General features: G+C 38.1%; 1 protein-coding gene across 1 annotated transcript in view; it reads left to right on the top strand.

Annotated features, from left to right (window-relative positions):
* Positions 1–20,633, top strand: part of TOX (thymocyte selection associated high mobility group box) — a 313,736-nt gene that overhangs the window by 179,950 nt on the left and 113,153 nt on the right. The gene's annotated exons all lie outside the window — the stretch shown is intronic.

Raw genomic sequence — 20,633 nt, 5'->3', positions numbered from 1 at the left:
TGTTTCTAGCTGTGGAGACAGTTATTTATAAATCATACACATTTCTAAAGCAATGTTCTATTTTATATTTAAGTCAAGGTAAAATCAATTAATTACTTGTGCAGTCACTCGTATTTATGACCCAAAGTACTAAATATTGTTTGACACTGAATGTGCTGTCATAGAGTCAAACCGGCTTACCAGCTTTCAGAGAAAAAGTCATCTTGAAAGATGCCACCTCTCATCCAGTGGAGGATTCCTCCCCAAAAGGGAGATCCCCACATCTTCTGAACTGCAGCTGCTGTTAACCTTGATTTTCCTTCCTATTTTCGGCTCTCAATTTCCACAAATGTATACCATAGGAAGGTAAGAAAAAATTTTTCAGTTTTATTTTGGAGGTATAATTCTGGTGATCAAAATTTATCTCCATTAAAGTATTGCAGTCTACTGGACCTGTTGTCTAACAATTTATAATGACAACACTATGAATTCCCATTAATTTTTCAAATTTAATAAGAATGTGTATCAACCAGCAAACTAGCAAAAAATCAAATTCTCAGGCTCTACCCAGGGAGTCCAGTGGTTTGTATATTTTACAAGCATCCCATACTTGAGAAACACTGGCTTATTATAAAATCTTTCCTTCTGATTTTTATGTCATCTGAAACTTAATAATTTCTCTGTCTATACCCCAATAGTGGAAAAAAAAATCAGTAGTAGATGGCCAAGGAGAGAGCTTTAGACCATGTCATAAAACCCTCCTCCCAGGTTTACAGTGGCTTTTAATTAGCACTTTTTGGTTTTCATTGTTCACTCACTTAACAGTCCAACTAACTCTCTTGTCATTTTCATAAGTCATCGAACAGTACTGTCATTTTCACAATGAATAAATTAATTAACTTGCCAATATTAAAAAACACATTTCATATTATCACTTATCTAAATCATTGGGGGATATATCTCTAACTTGAGTGATTTTGCAGGATGACTTTTCTGTTAATCATGAACATAAGGGTGGAATAAAAGTAGAGTCAAAAGAAACTCCAAAGTAGTTTCTTTAGAGAATGAAACCCAGAGCCTACTGCCTAATACACAATGGTGTATAGAATTTTCCTAAAATCTGGCAGCCATCTGGGCAGCCAAGAGGGGAGACTCATTGGCAGCACCATCACTCAGGTTTTTAGATTATATTCCACTTGTATAGATTTAGCTTATGAGTATTAAGTATGACTCCATAAATAGAAAATGGATTTTTTTTAACGTGCTAAATGTGTAAAGCTGAAAAATGTATTTCAGTGTAGTCACCTTGAAAAATCACCTGCCTACTTCTCTTTGGGACTAAGCCTTCAGACCCAATTCATGAGCCAAAGAAGGCATTCAGGTCATGCCTCTGTAGGGACCCCTGTTCCCTAGAGAGGAGAAGAAGGGGGCGTTCAGTATGCATGGAAAATGCCAGTTTTGTTCTCTAGGCTTATTCCCCATGGTAGGAGTGAGATTGGGGCCATAGGAAGGATAATGAGATATTCAATTATATAGTTCAAGTCTTTTTCCTTTATAAAATTTACCTCCTTTCTAGTAACAAATTTACCCTCCTTAGCATTTCTACATCCATCTCAATACACCTTTAAGAGACGTCACTCTTAAACAAATGCTTATGCAATGTCAGTAACTGTGGCTCAGAGATTTTTTCCAGATTTGCTGCCCATGGCAGTCATGCCATCCTCAAATGGCACATTTGGGACTGGACTCAGTCACAGCCACAAGATAGGCCATTTTCATGTCCATTCCCACTGTCCCTTCCTCTTTCCCTATCAGGAGCTTCCTTCTGTTCATAAAATTTCCTTATGCTCTCTGCCCACCAACCTACTGTCAAAAACTGGACTTTGATAATTTTGCCTCAACATGATGTTTCCCTAGGAACTTTCAACACTTTGCAGGGTATAGGGGAAACAAATCTACTATTTGGCCTAAGATAAAGGAATGAAGCTCTGATTTGCTATTCTAGTTCTTGAAGATGAGCCTGTTTGGGATTTTCATAGGGTGGCAAGCCTTCCCAGTACCCCTCAAGCTACATTCTGGAGCTGCACGTCTCCTGTGCCTCCTCACAGCACTGGTCCTAGCCTTTAATGCTGCAAGCAAAAAGCGACTCCAGCAAATGCCCGTGTTGGTGAGACAGTGGGTAAGGTTCAGCACTTCCCAGTGGAATGTGGTGTGACGATGGAGCTCTTCTATAATCTGTGCTGTCCAACAGCAGTAGTCACTGGCTATTAAATGTGGCTAGTGGGACTGAGGGACCAATTTTTCATTTTATTTTATTTTAATTACTTTACAGTTAAGTAGCCGCATTCACCCAGCAGCTACTGTGTTAGAGAGTATAGGTCTCGTTAATGATGTTGATTCTAGCATTAAGTCTATATTAAGCCCAATTTTTCCAGGCCAGCATGGTCTCAGAGAAAGAAGATTTGGAGATTAAATTTGTTGTTTCTGTTTCTCAAGGCTTGGGGATCTCTGGCTGGATTCCAGAAGCCAGAGTCTGATACACTATAAAGTTGCAATAGAAATCTAATAAAGTTGGAAGAATCAGGAGCTATCTTTTGTCTACTAATTCCTGTGAGAAACAAAGAGCCTCTTCAGTTCTTGTTTTGAGCTCCCACACGACTAGAATGCCATTCCTCAGTGTATATATTTTGAATGCTTACCATGGTCTCAATGTTTGAAAAGGCTCAAATGATTGATAAGACCTAGCTACTGTCCTTCTGGACAGTGAAAACATAAACAGTTATGAAACAATTAGAAACATGGGGCAATTAGAGACCAAGAGAGTGCCCAACTCAGATGTACTGGCCATGAACTCAGTAGGAACTCTTAGTTGAAAGAGTTTTATACTCTGGTTTGGGTATAAAACTTAGTAGAAAAGGTAGGACAGCCGTCACGGCTTGAAGGAGGGCTTTGATTTGGATAAACCAAGAGGAAAGAAAAGGCATGTTGGAGAGTGTTCAAAAATCAGATTGGGTATTTTGAAATGAGAGATTTGACCAAAACCTTCAACAACCACCTAAAGAACTTGGGCATGTTAGGACAGGTTAGAAGCAATCGCTGGTGGTTTTTACTCAAGGGCAAAAGTATTACGAAAGCAGTGTTGTAGGAAAATCCTTCTGGCAATAGGACCCTGTGTAGATAGCAGCGGTAAGAGGCTGGGGTTATGGAAAGCCGCTGGCGCCCGTTATCCCAATGTAGGTAAGAGGTGCCGAGGAACTAGAGCAGTGTGGTGTGCCATTAAGCCATTTTTGCATCCACAAATATGTATGGATCTAAAGATGAACAACATTTTGTCTTTTCATATTTTACATTTTAAAAGCATGAAGGAATTAGTTTCTTTGAAAGAAACTTTGAATATTAAATTTGCTCATCACACTTCCTTGTAAAAACTTACTAAAACTCTTTGCTAGCAAGTTTGCTCATGGCTAATATGATCACAAAATTTAACAACTGAGCTACGGACTGGTTTGCCAATTGTTGAAATATGTTTATGTGTAGGGACAGTTTACGTCATCAGTGCCCATTAGACAGGAAAATAATGTCTACAGATATGAGAGTTTAAATGTTGCCCACCTCGAAATGACAGTGCCCCTTCCAAGATTTTCTTTCAAGGTCACCTACAATATGAGAACAACTAATAAAAGCTAACAGTTGTAGATTCTAAATATTGATTTTGCTGTGAATTTAAAAATCCTATGAGTAGAAGCCATCCTGGGAAAATTTATGTGTAGGATCAACTTTCTCTAATTATATTTTCTAAAAGCTCTTGAATGTGATCAAAGCTGAGCCTTTTGCTGTTAGTACTGTGATTGTATCTTTGTATTAGTATTTTCACATGATGACATTTTAGTATTCGAATGGATCAAGGAAGTGAAAAATACTTAAGTTCTTTTATATTATTTATTGTATATATTTAGATACTGTATAGATTTTAGATGTTATTGTGATGTTTTATATATGAATTATGAGATATTATAGATGTGTTACTTATATATCAATTATTATAATGTATGTCATTTACTGAAATTTTGTTTTTAGATATATTCTCTTGTATCTGCCTCTGTTTCTTATCTCCACTGGCAACATAAGTGATACAGTTTCACCATTTATAAGCATTTCCTACAAATGCCTAATATATTAGACATCAACAATTTAGTCCATAATTAAAAATCAGTGTCTGAATGAGGAACTAGTATCCCAATTTTACAAATGGAAAATGAAAGTTCAAAGTGGTTAAGTGACTTAATGGCTTAGTCAGTAATTACTCCAGCTTCCTTATCAGGAAAATGGGGATGATAATTCTAGGCCTTACCTCACGGGGTTCAGGAAATATTTAAGATTACGCAGACCAGTAGCTGGCACATAGGAAGCATTATATAAGTGTTGGTTAAATAAAATGAGAAAAGCAAGCCTGTATGACTCTTTTGGAGAAGTTAAAATGCATGGGAAGGAAGACTTTCCAAAAGAGTTATTTATACTTTCATCCTGAATCTTCACATCTGTCAAAAAAGACTGCAATAAGCCTACTATTAACCAAAGGAGTATTTACCCTTTACTGGGTGTCTTTATTTATCATTGTGATTCAAATTGATGTCTTTGGGCCAGAGTGCGTCAGTTCAAATCCTGGCACTTCTGCTTACCAGCTGTGTGACCGTGAGTAACTTTTTGTGCCTCAGTTTCACTTGTTTAATCTCATCATGTTGTAAGTATTAAAGTAGCTAATATCTGTAATGTCTGGCTAGATATATTCAATGGGAACCTCTTTCTGATAAAAAGGTATCCAAGGTAGATATCTATATTGCCTTCTGGAATTTATCATAGACATATTGGGGTGCAGCATACATAGAGTGAAAGTTTTTCCCAAATTTCCCACCACTTTTTTGCATTTTCTTGTCTGTGCCATTTTATTGTTAGTAGGGATTCCTGCAACTAGTTAAATTTCTGGCACTTTGAAAAGGATTCCATTTTCCTGAAGTCCCTCTTTTCTAAGACAGGCTATAAAACAGGGTAGAATTTCTATAAGTATGTAACTGTCAAATAAGTGCCAATTAGTTCTGATTCTCTAGGTCCAAGTTAAACAGTCATTCATGACCCAATATGCAAGAGTTCCATTTTTCTCAACATTCCTCTGAGTTATTTTGATAGTGAGTAATTGATTTGTGTGCACTTCTCAGAGATAGAGTCTGGTTAGAAAAGCATTGAAATGAGAGCCATGGATAAGCTTGTCAGTCATGGGCAAGTCACTGAACCCTCTTACCAGCAGGGCTGGAGTAGATCTATAGAAGACTGGATCCACACTGAGCTTGTTGGGAGTGGTGTCAGGGGTGGGGTGCAGGAGTTAGAGGAAACAGTGTTGCTTTTATTTTTCTTTGCATTTCTTATAAAAGTTCCCTTGAACAAATGTTCTGCCCCCAAGAAGATGGAAAGCCCCAAGACTAGTTGATCTCCATGATCCTTCTCAGGACTAGCATTTTCCTGTAATTTGTTTTCTGTCAACCACACAACTTTGATCTAGACTTTGAGACTCACCGGGTTTGTCATTTTAGTTACTTAGTAATTTTTCTTGCCATGGCTTTGGCTGTCTCAGTGTTTTAACTGCACCCCCCACCCCCCTTCAAAGTTTAATCAGTTATAAGAACCTACTGGATAGATAATTTCTTTTGACTGGAAAATGTAATCCTGCCATTAAAAAAAAGTGATATTGCTTTGTGTGGATGGATAGTGTTTTCATGTTGTTAAAAGGAAACTACGGAACTATTTTAGCAGAAAGGTAGAATAAGAAAATGCCCATATTAAGTATTCATGGCTGAAGAAAAATCCTTTGATTTCTCCAAACTGAAATCAAGAGCCTCTCTTCTGTTTCTCCCCACTTTGGTATATTCACCGCTGCACTTAATCATGGATTGGTGAACGGGAAAATGCAACCTTGTATAAAGTCATCCCAGACTCTCAGCCTGGCCTATATGTGGTGATTGCTTGTTCTTTGTGCAGTCAACAGAAGCTCTTTCATACAAAGAAAAACCGTGCAAAGTTTTAGAATGGCCTCAAAGAAAGGATTCGTTTAGAACCTGGGCTTTTTGTAGAGTGTGCTTCCTAATGACGCATTATAGAAAATTTACAATGAGGAAAGCAACAAAGGCGATTTCAATTTCTTTGAATGTGTCAAATTTCCAGTTCTGGAGTTTGAAATGGAAAAAAGATGTTAAAAGGCAATAAAATTGGGGGGTTTATTTCCCAAATGCCTTCTTTTTCCAGCGAACAAAAGCAAGCCTAATGTATATACTCAGATTTATTGTCATTTTTAGCATTCAGTCATGGTACACTTTGCATTCAAAGGCCACTGTACAACTGTTTTGACAACCATCGCTTTCATAGGTGCTATACAGGACTCATGAAACTGAAGCAGAAGTGTTCCTTCAGGCCTATAGGGAGTGCCGCACATCAAGGAATTCAGATGTATTAGAGCAGCATGAATTTCCAATATGTTGCCATTATGGAAAAGACCACTGGCTTATTGAATAATGCAGCTTTCAAAGCCAAGCAGAAAATGTGATTACAGACAATTTGATTGCTGTTTTTAAAATAAATATTTTCCAAATCTTGAGGTATTTTATTTCATGTAATGCATAAAGTATGTAACCATGGACTAGAGCTAAGCATCTTTCAGAACACGGAGGAGCTTATGATGTCAGCCCATTTAATGGTGGAATAATACAAGTGTTTGTTTAAAATGGAATGGATGTCACCGCAGCTTGTTTCTTTCTTTAAACAAAGAGGAAAATAAGCCATAAAAAATAATTTTGCCACTTTAACAGAAGAAAAATGATGAAGAACAATTATTTAGCATTATGCCACAATTCATCAAATGTTTAGCAATTATAGCCTGTTTTTTTTTTTCACAAATTATCCTTTTTTGAATATCGCAGAACCCAAGAACAATGCGTTAAACCACTTTAATACTGTGAAGAAATGGGCTGGTTTTTTTGTTCTTAGTTTTGACCAAATACAATAAATATGCGGGTTGGTTGGGTTTTTTCCTTTTTGGACAAATTCTTAATAAGGCCAAGAATAGGTGTTGTTTATAGTTAATTGTTAAGATCTACTTAAGATCTTTGTTTGCACAAAACAGACTACTTTGAATGTGGTATTGATATAGTTCAATGGACTCAGTATGTTAACGATTTGGGGCTTTTATTGCTATAATAAAATATTATCCCAAACTAGAGTTCTCCTTAATAGTATTCAGGAAAGGAGCCAATTTAAAAATAACACTTTTTCTTTTCTAAGCCAAGTAATCAGACTCAAGATTCACTTGGTATATAGGAGTTCTTGTACTTTTTCTTCAACCCTTGAGTTCATACAAATGTGTGCCTCACCCATGCATGAAAGAAGTAAAAAGGGTATAACATCAGTTATATAATATGCTATAAGCAAACTCTGGGACCTACTTAATCCAGTCTCTTAAGTCTAGGCAGGAGTAAACCTAAACCATTTGAGATATGTGGTTTTCTAAGAGCCAAGATTCCATAACTTTCCTTGGTAGCCTGTTTGTGCTTAATTAACCTTGTAACATTAAGTTAAATTGCAGTAAGAGATTTAGATTCTTTCCAGGAAGTTCCTTATTAAAGTTAAACCAAAATCTCTTGCTTACCAAATAGGAAATTTTAGCCTATTTTGTCTGCCTCAGCCATCTGAATGCTTGGAGAACAGTTGATTTCAAATATTTGACATTTATTAAGTCAATCCTGCAGTTGTGTTTTATCTGGCCCAAATAACCCCAATTCCTTTAACCTTTCCTCAAAGGTCATTATTTTTCAACTTTTAAATCAAATTAGCTCTTTTTTTTTTTGACATTTATGATCTTAAGGAATGTTGATGACAATGGATGGCAGAGCTCTAGAACCTGAGATTGCAGATTAATTTCTGATTTTTTCTAATTATTCTCTGCCTCTACGTGGATGTTTTATGATAGGGTCCTTAATAGCATCATTGATTGCTGATATGTTTAATTGCTGATTCATTGATCCCTCCTACAGTGTGTGACTCTTGCTGTGTTGGTTTCTAGCCAGCAGTTTCCCATCTTGTATTTGTGTAGGTCATTTCATGTCCTAAAGGCAAACATCTGAAAAGGCCATTGTGGTATTGCTCTTAAGGCATCTTTTTTTCCTGCCTGGGTATCAATTATTTAGCAAACAAAGATGAATAAAAAAATTTATTGTAGTTTATATTTGAATAATTGTCTTTGGACAAAGGGATTCTAAGTATGTCCATAAGTAAGAATTTCCAGATCCTAGCCATGAGCTTTCAGTCATTAGTTATAACTTCAAAATTGTTAGTAGAATGTTTCGTAATGTGTTGAGGGGGCAGTTTGGGGAAAGCAGCACAGAACCTGGATAAAGAAGACATAGGACTGGAAAGAAGGAATAAACAATAAATGAAAACAGGCCTGTTCTGGATAGCAGTTATATACCTGGAGGATCTGTCCAGGCATGTGTAGGGGTATGGTTGGGGCTTCTTGTGGGTGGTCCTTCCTCCAGTGCTTCTTCTAGAACTGAGCTCTGCGCTCCTCATTTCAGGTCCAGCGAATGTTCTGTCCTCCCTCTCCTACCTTGAATAATCATGCTGGTGCTTCATGTGTCAAGAATTGCTTTCTCTTTCCTTCCTTCCCCATTCAGCATTAACACTCAGCATTAACTCCACTCCCCATGGAGAAAAACATTTTTCTTGTTCTCTCTCTGCCTCATGAGCTCATTACAGGAAAGAGGACCTAGAAACCCTGAGAGTTTACTTGGTTTCATTGCCTAGACCTCCATGTAGAAACTGCTGATAGCAATGCTCTATATAAGTGTACAGCCCATAGTAGGAGCTTAATAACTATTTTTCTGATTGAATGAATCTATTTGTTCCCACTTAAAGTTATCTCTAGCCATAATATTTCCCCCAGACAGGTACAAGATTATTATTGCTTTTTGGGCTGACACTTCTAAGCAGTTGTTTAGTCTTCTAAAATGATACAAATATTCCAGTTTTATAGAAAGTACAATGTCATTTATCATGGTGTCTAAAATTCTATAATGCTTTCAAAAGACCTAAATGAATTTGAGCCCTAAACATAGATCTAACTTTATAGTCTTAATACTTAATCAACTTACTACTGATCATTTCTAACCTATTCCACTATTAAATTGATGTATTTGACAATTAATTACAATGTGTAGTTGATCCTCCTTTTTAGATAAATCCATTTATTTTCTGAGTATGGCTATTTTTATAGAGAAAAACTATCAGTAAAATTACAAGACTTCTAAAGGAGTATATTTGTGCCTAGTCTTCCAAAGTCTTGGGGCAGAAGTAGCAGTAATATGAAAAATTGATGTCTATTAAACATTTGCCCATATGACTCATGTTATTTTTTTAATTACAAAATGATTATATCTCAGCTTGCCATGTCTTTGACTTGCTTTTTGCTTGATTTATGCAAGTAGATTATTAACATTGAAATGTTGCATTATAAACTCATTTTGTCATGAAATCATAGGAGAATTCATCTAAAATATTTTTCAGGAGAACAATGAGCCAGTCTCATTTCAAGACACCACTATCTTCATTATTCATTAACTATTATTATCTAGAGCATATGGGAATGCTTTAAGAGCAGGTTTTGGTTTTAGATTTTTTTTTCATTTTAGTTTTTTTCTAGTTTGAAAGTTTCAAGATCTCTTACGTGGACAAGCATTACCTACAGAAACATAATATTATTTGTCTTTTTATATTAGCCATTTATATACTTCTTTGTGCCAGCAGCAATACACACTGTGTAGGAGAAAAGGTATGAAGTCCTGGAGGGTTTTTGACCATTTGTTACAGTCATTAAAATACTAGATTTGACTTTCCTTTTTTAAATAACTTAAAATATGAAAAATACCAAAATCATCCAGAGAGCGTGTCTTTTTTTCTTTCAACTAATAAATATATTTCACATTTTGATAAATATATAATCACAAAAATGATAGTTAAATCCTCTGAATTTAATGGACTATACAAATTCCCCAGAGAAATAGAAGTACTCTTTGACAGAGAGAGGATTAAACTTCTTTTTGTAATTCAGGGTAGCATTTTTATTTTTGATAGGCAAAAACCCTCTCAAAATGTGTTACATTTGAAAAGCATTATTTTTCAACCTTTAGGGAGTTTTGTTTTCTTTAATCATGATCTTAATAATCTTTAATAAAAATATGATCCAACCCTGTAAACATATCATGCTATTAAATGCTTTACATTTTTATATCTATTGTATATGTAATCACATTCTGTGTTAACCAGTAGATGTAACTAATGGTTTACCAAATGGAGATAGGATCATAATTCATACCGTATGAAACTTGCAAATGCTATGGATGAAAGATAACTCTCTCTGCACTTCTCAAGACAGTGGATTCATAAAGTTTATTGCTAAAAACGCTGTATTATTAAGGCTATCAAGAGACAAAATTATTAGCATTTTGAAGTATTTTTTCTATTGTGATGTGTGTGTATATATATATATATAGTGCTTGAAAAGTTAACAGGAAAAGGAAAATAGGCTATGATCACGTAACTATTTTTCACATAGAATAAAAGTATGCTACTTGCATCTGTATGTATATATGTATGTATCTTTCTTTCTGTCTCTCTACGCATTCATGTGTTGATTAGGTTTGTGTGTCTGGGACTCTGATCCCATTGTCTTTAGTATTAAAAGGTAGCTGCACCAAGGTGAAGCCATGGCTGAAAGTATCAGTGGCCATTTCCCCACTGGACAGATGCAGAGTGGGACCTCTTGTTAATAGCTACTATCACATGGATTTTTTCTTGTGTGCGGTTGTTTTTTCTTTCCCCAAAGCAGCCTTGTTCCTGATTTCCATAGCACACAAGGCTGGCCTGTATTTCCCAGCTAATAGCGGGCGCTCTGCCTTCTCTGAAGCTGCGCTTCCCTGCAGCATCTCCCGCATAAATCAGACATTTCTAGGGTGACTTCATGATGCCTCAGATCTGCAGGTGGTATGTATAGTGAATGATAGAACCCAGGAACTGATCATTCACTTGGGTTACATATATTAAACTTGACGAAAGTATGAGACCAGGAAAGATCAAATTCTCAAATATGGAACACTTCTTAACTTGTCCGGGGAGTGTTGGAGTCACCCGCAGAAACCTACTGATGGCATTGGGATCTTGAGAAGCCGTATGAGTGGTGGGTACGCCTGTGGGTCTGGGTGAGGCCGCCTGCACTTGAACCCTGGCAGGCCCTTCACTATCCACATGTGACCGTGGGGAAGTGATTCCACCTCTCTGCACCTCAGTTTTCGTGCTGGTGGTGAGGCTTGATCTGGTCTGTGCATCTGAAGCCCTCCGAGCAGTACTGGGCAGACAGTGAGCTTCATGTCAGCTACTGTGTTATTCACCTCCTCAGAACCCCCATAGGTTGTGGTCTGGGTTTTTCTTATACTATCTGTCATTCCTCTTCTCATTACTGGTATCTGTGTACCACGGGACGTTCTAACAACCAATCAACTGACATTTATTGGGCTCCGACTCTTGCCAAGTCCTGGGCTAGGTGTTTTACACACAGTTTTCTTCTTCATCCCCACGATCACACCAGGAGGTGGGAGGTGCGATTCTCATCTTACGCAGAAGGACCATGGGACAAAGATGCAGAGCACAGGGATGGACAGCTGGCAGGTGGTGAACTAGGCAGGCTGGGGTGCAGATCTCCTCTACATTTCTGGTGAGGCTGGGAGCCGTGCTTTTACACTTGGTAGAGGCTTGGTAAATTTGCATTGGAAACCTCAATTGAGCCTTTTGTCCTCTCTCTGTCTCTCAGTCTCTCTCCTGATGAACTCGGCACCGTGATGACTCAAGCTGACAGTGTAAAGCCAGCATTCACAGTTCTGCCCTCTTCTTTAAAAAATCAGAATAAACTCATATTATTTTTACATTGCTGAAATAATAAAAGAGAATGAGTAGAGAAAACGAGAGATCCTACATTTCAATGAAAGAAGGATGGGCTTGAAATCCTGGCTGGGTGACTTTGACAAATCAGTTGATTTCTCTGAGCCTGTTTCCTTAGCTATAAAAGAAAAAAAAAAAAAAGGTGTGACAATGATCATATTTACATCACCATATGGTTGTGGGGATTAAGCTGGATACAGGATTAGCATTTTTAGTACCTAAAGTTGTAGGTCCATTCTCAAGTCACTTGTTAAAGACATTAGCTTTCCAGCTAATGAAAAATGTCAGCTCTTTGTCAAAACCCAGTAATTTAAATTATACCAGTCTTCTGCAAGGAAGACAGCGTTAGCGCCTCAGGTAGCAACAGGCTGTACAACAGACAAGGGTTCTGCAGCTCTAACTGAAGACCAGGAGTTGGGGTCTCCGCCATTTACCACATTCCCATTATTGGCCAACCTCAAGGTATTCTTTTCTCTCCATCGACAGTATAAAAAATTTAGCTTATAAATGTATGAAGACATTTAAATCATTTTATAAATAAAAGGAGGAAAAATTCTAGGCAGCTTGCCAAGAATAGTAGGTCTAAAATTAGCTAGAAATGTTTACCTCTCTTTATTAAATTCCTGCTACTTTTTCTAATGTGTTTATATCAGTTTGTCCCCTCTCAAAACTGCATATTCTATATGCAGTGCCTTCACAAAAGCCAAAGAAATTAACATAGAGTGGTAAATAAACTCAGCCAACTTTTCTTCATTCCCGTTCAAGAATGATAAATTGACGTGGCTGGGATCACAAAAGCATCTTGATAGGCCAAGTCCCAAGGGAGCAGCATACTCATGTCCCCCCATGGGCTCAGGGCCTTCTTGATAAACCCCAGAGTGAGGACCAGAAGACTGGTCCACAGAGGATCATGAGGCCATCATGAAACCAGCCATCTTCCTCTCACCCAGCCTAGGGAATGTCCCAGCCTCTGGGGATAGGGTTGTGGAGATCCCCTCATGAGGCCAAAAACTCGCTGGGAAGCCACTCTCTGTGCTGGGCAAAAGTCATACTTTGATATCTCAGAAGATGAGCTATAGGGTCCAAGCATGTGAGCACTTTGTGAGGTTTTCATGGTAATTCACAATCCAGCTCAGCCCAGGCACTCAACTGACTGCATAAAGTCTCCAGAAGAGAGTTTAGTCCGGGATGGATTTACCAGGGTAGCTCAGTGGACCAAGACCCTCTTATGCATACACAGCTAGTCTCCACTGCAAAGGGGAAGGGGCACATATTCAGAATAGTCAGTGCATGGTAAAGTGGCAGCACAGCCTCAGGTGGCAGAAAGCTATAGAAACATAGTCCCTTAAAAATGGTACGACAAAGGGCTGTTTCTCAGAGCGCAGTATACTTTAAAAGATGGAATAAAAATGCAGATGTGTTTAAAAACCAGGGGTATTTTTTATTGGTATAATGGAAAGAATATTGAAATCAGATGTGTCTGAGGGCAGAGAATCCCAAATCTAACATCATGGTGTCCGTTGTTCCAATTACCATGCAGTGATTAGAAAGATGGGCTCGTCCTAGGTGCAGAAGCAGGCACAGGGTACTTTAGCTGCCGCCTCATATGTGAAATGGAGAAAGGTTGTTATCGTATACTTTCTTCCTCTTGTGGTGTGGATTAAATGAGATAGTCCACGTAAGGCAATTGTCATAGATGCTTGTGAATAGCAGGTTATAGATTCTCCACTTCCTTGGCCTCCTGCTTTATCACAACAGCAGGGGATGGGACCCCGTCCTTCCCTGTGGTCTTCTTTCCTTTTGGCATCTTGGGCAACTGGAGAAGAGCTAACTGCGCGATGAATGCTTAATTCTCTTGAATGTACTATTGTAATTTCTTTATTCTCATGTGAGTTTTCATAAAAACAATGCAATTTTTATACTGTAACTGACATGATTTGCAAAGTAATGCTTTTTATCCACATTCAGTTAACATTTTGGCCTTTTTAAATTAAAAAACTCAAATTTTCTGAGGTTTATAAAACAGGATTACTAAGTGTAGGATTTGGGTTAAACCCATAAGTTCTCCTCTAACTTGCCATAGAAGCTGTGGCGTGAATGGTGAGAGGTGCAGGCAGGCCGAGGGTTGGGGGCTGTGGCTGTGCACGAGGTGCATCTCCATGTGCCATCTGGGGCTGCTTCTGGAAAGTAGGGAGCGCTGCAGTGAGGAAGAGGAGGAGTCAAACTCCACCCCACATTCTCTCGCATTGTTCTCTAATGATTGTGTGAAAAAGATAAAATGAAAAATGTGAAACTATTCCAAAAAACACAGGCCAAGTAAGCCAAAAAGAAATGACTATAATACACATATTCCTGAAGAGGCCAGAGAAAGAGGAAAATAGGAATAAATCTCCCTGGGCAATCTATCAAAATGTTGAGAAAAATACATTACTAATGAGAAAATATCAAACACCTATCGGGAGACAAATGCACATAACTCTGAATCGTGGATCACAAGAGTTTCCTCAGGCACCTTGATGACAACTTTATGATGCATAAAATAGTAGATTCTCCCCTATTACGGTTTATTGGATAAGCACTTCCATGAACACAGGACTGCCCTCCACAGGGGAAGGAAGAATCATGCCTGAAGGGCTCTTGGTCTAAGTTATGAAGAAGATGCCATTCAGGCATAAAATGTGTGAGATGAGAAAGTGATTAGGGTTATGTCCACAAGAGAGCAAACAAATGTTTTGACAAGGAATAGATCTGGTTATGGGTTCTTGGCTTTGAGAATCTTCGAGTGAGTATTTGTGACAATATCCTGCAGATGGTGTCCAGGGATTTCCCTCCCTACTTCTGCTTAGTATGTATGGAGAGAGGGGATGGTGAGGACAACTCTGTATATACTGTACAATTTGAAAATCTCTCCTTCTTACGTCTTCTGCACCTTCACATGTCATTGGAAAATTAAGGTGTTTACCTGAATACTAAAAATGCATTTTTACCTAAAATAGCAAGATGTTTGATGCATGAAAATCTTTGAATATCTGCAACTCATTATTCTGCATATCATTTTCTATTTGTGAACACAGCCGAAATTACTGTAGTACTAGCAGCCTTAACTTTTTGACTGGGTTCTTTATCAGAAGATTCTCTTATCAGAAGATTCTTACCTTAGAGCTTCATGGAATATAAAAGTTTCCAAAATTGATATGAAAGTTGATTCCCAAACTGAACCCCAGTTCTTCTCTTTGTGTTGCATTCATATGCATTCATGCACACAGGACTTAGAATAGCTAGGCCGTTGGGTGTCTACTCTATGTAGTAGTGTATCATTCCAACCAACACAGCTGTGAGAGTCAAGCAGGTAACTAGTAATAATTAGGCCTACAACTGGGACTGTCTTGAGGGACCCGGAACCCAGGTCCTGGTAAGCTATGTGTGAGACATTATGCTTGGTGATAGCAGGAGTACAAAAATTAATATGGAAATAGTTCCTGCCCTCCAGTGTCTAGCAAAACAAATGAGGTATGTATTCAGAAAATCATGCAACAGTTTAAAGCATCACTCTCCCTTTAAGTTATAAAATGATGTAAGGAATCAGGAAAAGCTACCTAATTAATGGAGGTAGTGTTCTTAAGGATCTTAAAAATGAAAAAAGGTTTGATTAATGAATGACAGGGAGAAGTGGGGAAGAAGACGTTTTTGGAGTGAGGAAGTTTCACTGAGTGAGTATTATGTGAAAGGAACCATTGTCCCTCCCAGATGCTTGGCCCAAAAACCTGGGATTCATCCTTCGTTCATCTTATTTCTGTCACTCCAGACACCCAGTTATTTTCTTACCCAAACTGAGCAAGTCTCCACAGAAATGCCTCCAAAATACATTTTGAAATCTGCCCTCATCGCTTCCTTCTTCACCACTGCCACCATGATCCAAAGCACCATCTTCTTTGTGGATTATAGCAGTGATCCTAACTGGCCTCGCCTCCTGACTCCTGTTCCTCCATGATACATTCTCCACACAAGAGTCAGTGTGACCTTTTTAGCATATATTAATTAGATTGACCACCCTTCAGTGACTCCTCATTGTACCTAGGATAAAAGGAGAAAAAAAAATCCGTTTCTTCATATGATATTCAGGCTCTGCCAAGATCCCTGACCTCAATTCACACTATTCTGCCCCTCACCGAGCTAGTCACACTGGTTTTCTGTCTCCCACCTCCCACCGGATGACCTTTGCGCTTAGCCATCCCTCTATTGGGAACACGCTTGCCCCAGATCTTCACATTCAGGTCTCAGCTCAAATGTCACTGCTCGGAAACTCTAGCCGTAAGTGGCACCTTGCTCCTGCCCTGCCGCTCGCCCCTCATTACATCACCCTGTTTTATAAAATGAGTTGTCACTGGAAAGTGCATGTAATGAGGAAGAAGTGAATAAATATCAGCCACTTGGAGCATTGTTACTTCCTGAAATCATCTAGTTTATTCAAGTAGTTGATTGGCCACCTCCCACTGCTAGACTAGAAGCACCGTGAGAGGTGGTGGTCTTGGCTGCCTAATCCTGCTGTGTTCCACACATCTAGAAGAGAGAAGAAGGCATGCCCTTAGTATTGTTGAATAACACATATATATCTGGTGTTTTTTATATATATGTATATACACATATATATGTGTGTGTTTGTGTGTGTGTAACACCTATCTATAATAAATTAAAAAGTCATTTAAAAATTAAAGGCTATAGGAAAGGTCACAGTTCATATTTTAATATAGCAGGGATTCCATAGAAGCAGGTGGAGGAGTTAGGTATGCATATGTGTGTATACACACGCATGCACATTTCAATATATACACGCAAACACTAACTGTGCAAATATTCTAACTTATCATGATTAAAATATACGTTACGTCTTATCTTTGCCTTCTTCTCCTGTCCCTTCCTCCTAAACTTCAATCCTGGAGCTGTAAAATTCATAAAGCACACAGTTAGGAGAATTCCAAGAAAGTATACAGATATGATTGAGGCACCAGGGATACTGGCTTATCAGCCACATGAAGTAACCCATCGTTAACTTACATTTATATAGCACCTTCATTTAGGAAGATCCTAAACTAAGAACAGCTATTGTTCTCAGCTCAAATGCCTTAGCTATTGTCAGGCCACGGCATTCTATGATCCAACAAAGAGGGAAAATTAGGGACCAAGATAGTAATACACAATTCTTCCCACCCCTGGGTACCTGATCATAGTCCTTAAAATGATAAAATCTAGGAGTCCGTAGGTAATAGAACATCATCATCATAAAAGCTCTGTGGTTGATTGTACTTATGCTTTTGAAGTATAAACATTAAGATAAAAATATATGTAGTGAAAATGACTTTGATAACTAAAAACGACCTCTTTCAGAGATTTTGAGTCCAACAGCTATTTAGGAAGTACTTTAATAATGAAAAACAATTATAAAAATTTCAGGTTAGTGGGTTTTAGTAAGATCTGGTTGATTGGCAAATAGTTTGCATAAGTATTTACAAAATTTGTAGGGAAGGGCAGAGAAGAGTTTGAGATTTTTTTCTTTTTCTTTCTTATTTCTGCCTCTAGGAATCTAGTTAGGGAAAGAATGCTTATTGTGTAGTAAAATTAACGTTCATTTTGGGGTTATTAGAAATACTGAAAGTGTAGCTGAAAGATCCTGGTAAGTCACTTAACTTATATGGGCCTTAACACCAAATGTATTCTAATATTTCTGGTGGAGTATAACATTTCATAGTTAACCATGTGGATTTTGGCAAATTGTCATATAGATCTGTGTCTTAAAGAACTGTTTTTGACATTTGGATCCGATTCGTTCCTATCTAGGTTGGAATATGAACTGGATATTTATTTGAACTTGTTTATGGATTTTTATGTAACTTGATTCTTACTACATTCTTAATGTCAATAGATCAGTAATCAAGTTTCAAAAACAGCCATTTTACTTTGCTTAAAGCAGAAACAACTTTTAATGAATGAAATATAGCTTGCACTTGTTCAAGAGATGGTGCAAGAGCTTCAGCTTCCAGGCTGAATTTTCCTTTTGACATACTTCATGACGCAGCCCTCTGATGAACAGTACCTCCTGGTTCTCTGTGTTTCCTTTCTTAACTCCGTGTCTCCACATAAGGCAAGATAGGTCCTAAAAAATGACTGGACACTTAATGTGATCAATCAGCCTGTCTGTCACCTATCCATGAGTCATAGATGCATATTTACAGGAATCTTCACAATCTTATCTCAAGGGAATAATTAATAAACTGGGAATATCAGATACTTTAAATATATATAATTTTTTTCTTAGTTCTAACAAGTATATATTGAGCTCTACCTCTGTTCCCAGAACTATGATAGGTGCTGAAGAAGTAACTCCTCACAGAGTAGTTATTACCTAGCTTACTGTCTAGATCAGAGATTCTTTTTTTTTTTTCTTCTTTTTTTTCTTTTTTTTTTTTTTTAATGTTTTTTTTTTATTATACTTTAAGTTTTAGGGTACATGTGCACATTGTGCAGGTTAGTTACATATGTATACATGTGCCATGCTGGTGCACTGCACCCACTAACGTGTCATCTAGCATTAGGTATATCTCCCAATGCTATCCCTCCCCCCTCCCCCGACCCCACCACAGTCCCCAGAGTGTGATATTCCCCTTCCTGTGTCCATGTGATCTCATTGTTCAATTCCCACCTATGAGTGAGAATATGCGGTGTTTGGTTTTTTGTTCTTGCGATAGTTTACTGAGAATGATGGTTTCCAATTTCATACATGTCCCTACAAAGGACATGAACTCATCATTTTTTATGGCTGCATAGTATTCCATGGTGTATATGTGCCACATTTTCTTAATCCAGTCTATCATTGTTGGACATTTGGGTTGGTTCCAAGTCTTTGCTATTGTGAATAATGCCGCAATAAACATACATGTGCATGTGTCTTTATAGCAGCATGATTTATAGTCATTTGGGTATATACCCAGTAATGGGATGGCTGGGTCAAATGGTATTTCTAGTTCTAGATCCCTGAGGAATCGCCACACTGACTTCCACAATGGTTGAACTAGTTTACAGTCCCACCAACAGTGTAAAAGTGTTCCTATTTCTCCACATCCTCTCCAGCACCTGTTGTTTCCTGACTTTTTAATGATTGCCATTCTAACTGGTGTGAGATGATATCTCATAGTGGTTTTGATTTGCATTTCTCTGATGGCCAGTGATGATGAGCATTTTTTCATGTGTTTTTTGGCTGCATAAATGTCTTCTTTTGAGAAGTGTCTCTTCATGTCCTTCGCCCACTTTTTGATGGGGTTGTTTGTTTTTTTCTTGTAAATTTGTTGGAGTTCATTGTAGATTCTGGATATTAGCCCTTTGTCAGATGAGTAGGTTGCAAAAATTTTCTCCCATGTTGTAGGTTGCCTGTTCACTCTGATGGTAGTTTCTTTTGCTGTGCAGAAGCTCTTTAGTTTAATTAGATCCCATTTGTCAATTTTGGCTTTTGTTGCCATTGCTTTTGGTGTTTTGGACATGAAGTCCTTGCCCACGCCTATGTCCTGAATGGTAATGCCTAGGTTTTCTTCTAGGGTTTTTATGGTTTTAGGTCTAACGTTTAAATCTTTAATCCATCTTGAATTGATTTTTGTATAAGGTGTAAGGAAGGGATCCAGTTTCAGCTTTCTACATATGGCTAGCCAGTTTTCCCAGCACCATTTATTAAATAGGGAATCCTTTCCCCATTGCTTGTCTTTCTCAGGTTTGTCAAAGATCAGATAGTTGTAGATATGCGGCATTATTTCTGAGGGCTCTGTTCTGTTCCATTGATCTATATCTCTGTTTTGGTACCAGTACCATGCTGTTTTGGTTACTGTAGCCTTGTAGTATAGTTTGAAGTCAGGTAGTGTGATGCCTCCAGCTTTGTTCTTTTGGCTTAGGATTGACTTGGCGATGCGGGCTCTTTTTTGGTTCCATATGAACTTTAAAGTAGTTTTTTCCAATTCTGTGAAGAAAGTCATTGGCAGCTTGATGGGGATGGCATTGAATCTGTAAATTACCTTGGGCAGCATGGCCATTTTCACAATATTGATTCTTCCTACCCATGAGCATGGAATGTTCTTCCATTTGTTTGTGTCCTCTTTTATTTCCTTGAGCAGTGGTTTGTAGTTCTCCTTGAAGAGGTCCTTCACATCCCTTGTAAGTTGGATTCCTAGGTATTTTATTCTCTTTGAAGCAATTGTGAATGGGAGTTCACTTATGATTTGGCTCTCTGTTTGCCGGTTGTTGGTGTATAAGAATGCTTGTGATTTTTGTACATTGATTTTGTATCCTGAGACTTTGCTGAAGTTGCTTATCAGCTTAAGGAGATTTTGGGCTGAGACAATGGGGTTTTCTAGATAAACAATCATGTCGTCTGCAAACAGGGACAATTTGACTTCCTCTTTTCCTAATTGAATACCCTTTATTTCCTTCTCCTGCCTGATTGCCCTGGCCAGAACTTCCAACACTATGTTGAATAGGAGCGGTGAGAGAGGACATCCCTGTCTTGTGCCAGTTTTCAAAGGGAATGCTTCCAGTTTTTGCCCATTCAGTATGATATTGGCTGTGGGTTTGTCATAGATAGCTCT

This window comes from Homo sapiens, chromosome 8, assembly GCF_000001405.40.
Source record: "Homo sapiens chromosome 8, GRCh38.p14 Primary Assembly".
In the NCBI taxonomy this organism is placed as follows: domain Eukaryota; kingdom Metazoa; phylum Chordata; class Mammalia; order Primates; family Hominidae; genus Homo; species Homo sapiens.
Note: the sequence above shows the minus strand (reverse complement) of the source record. Positions and strands in the feature narration are given on the sequence as shown.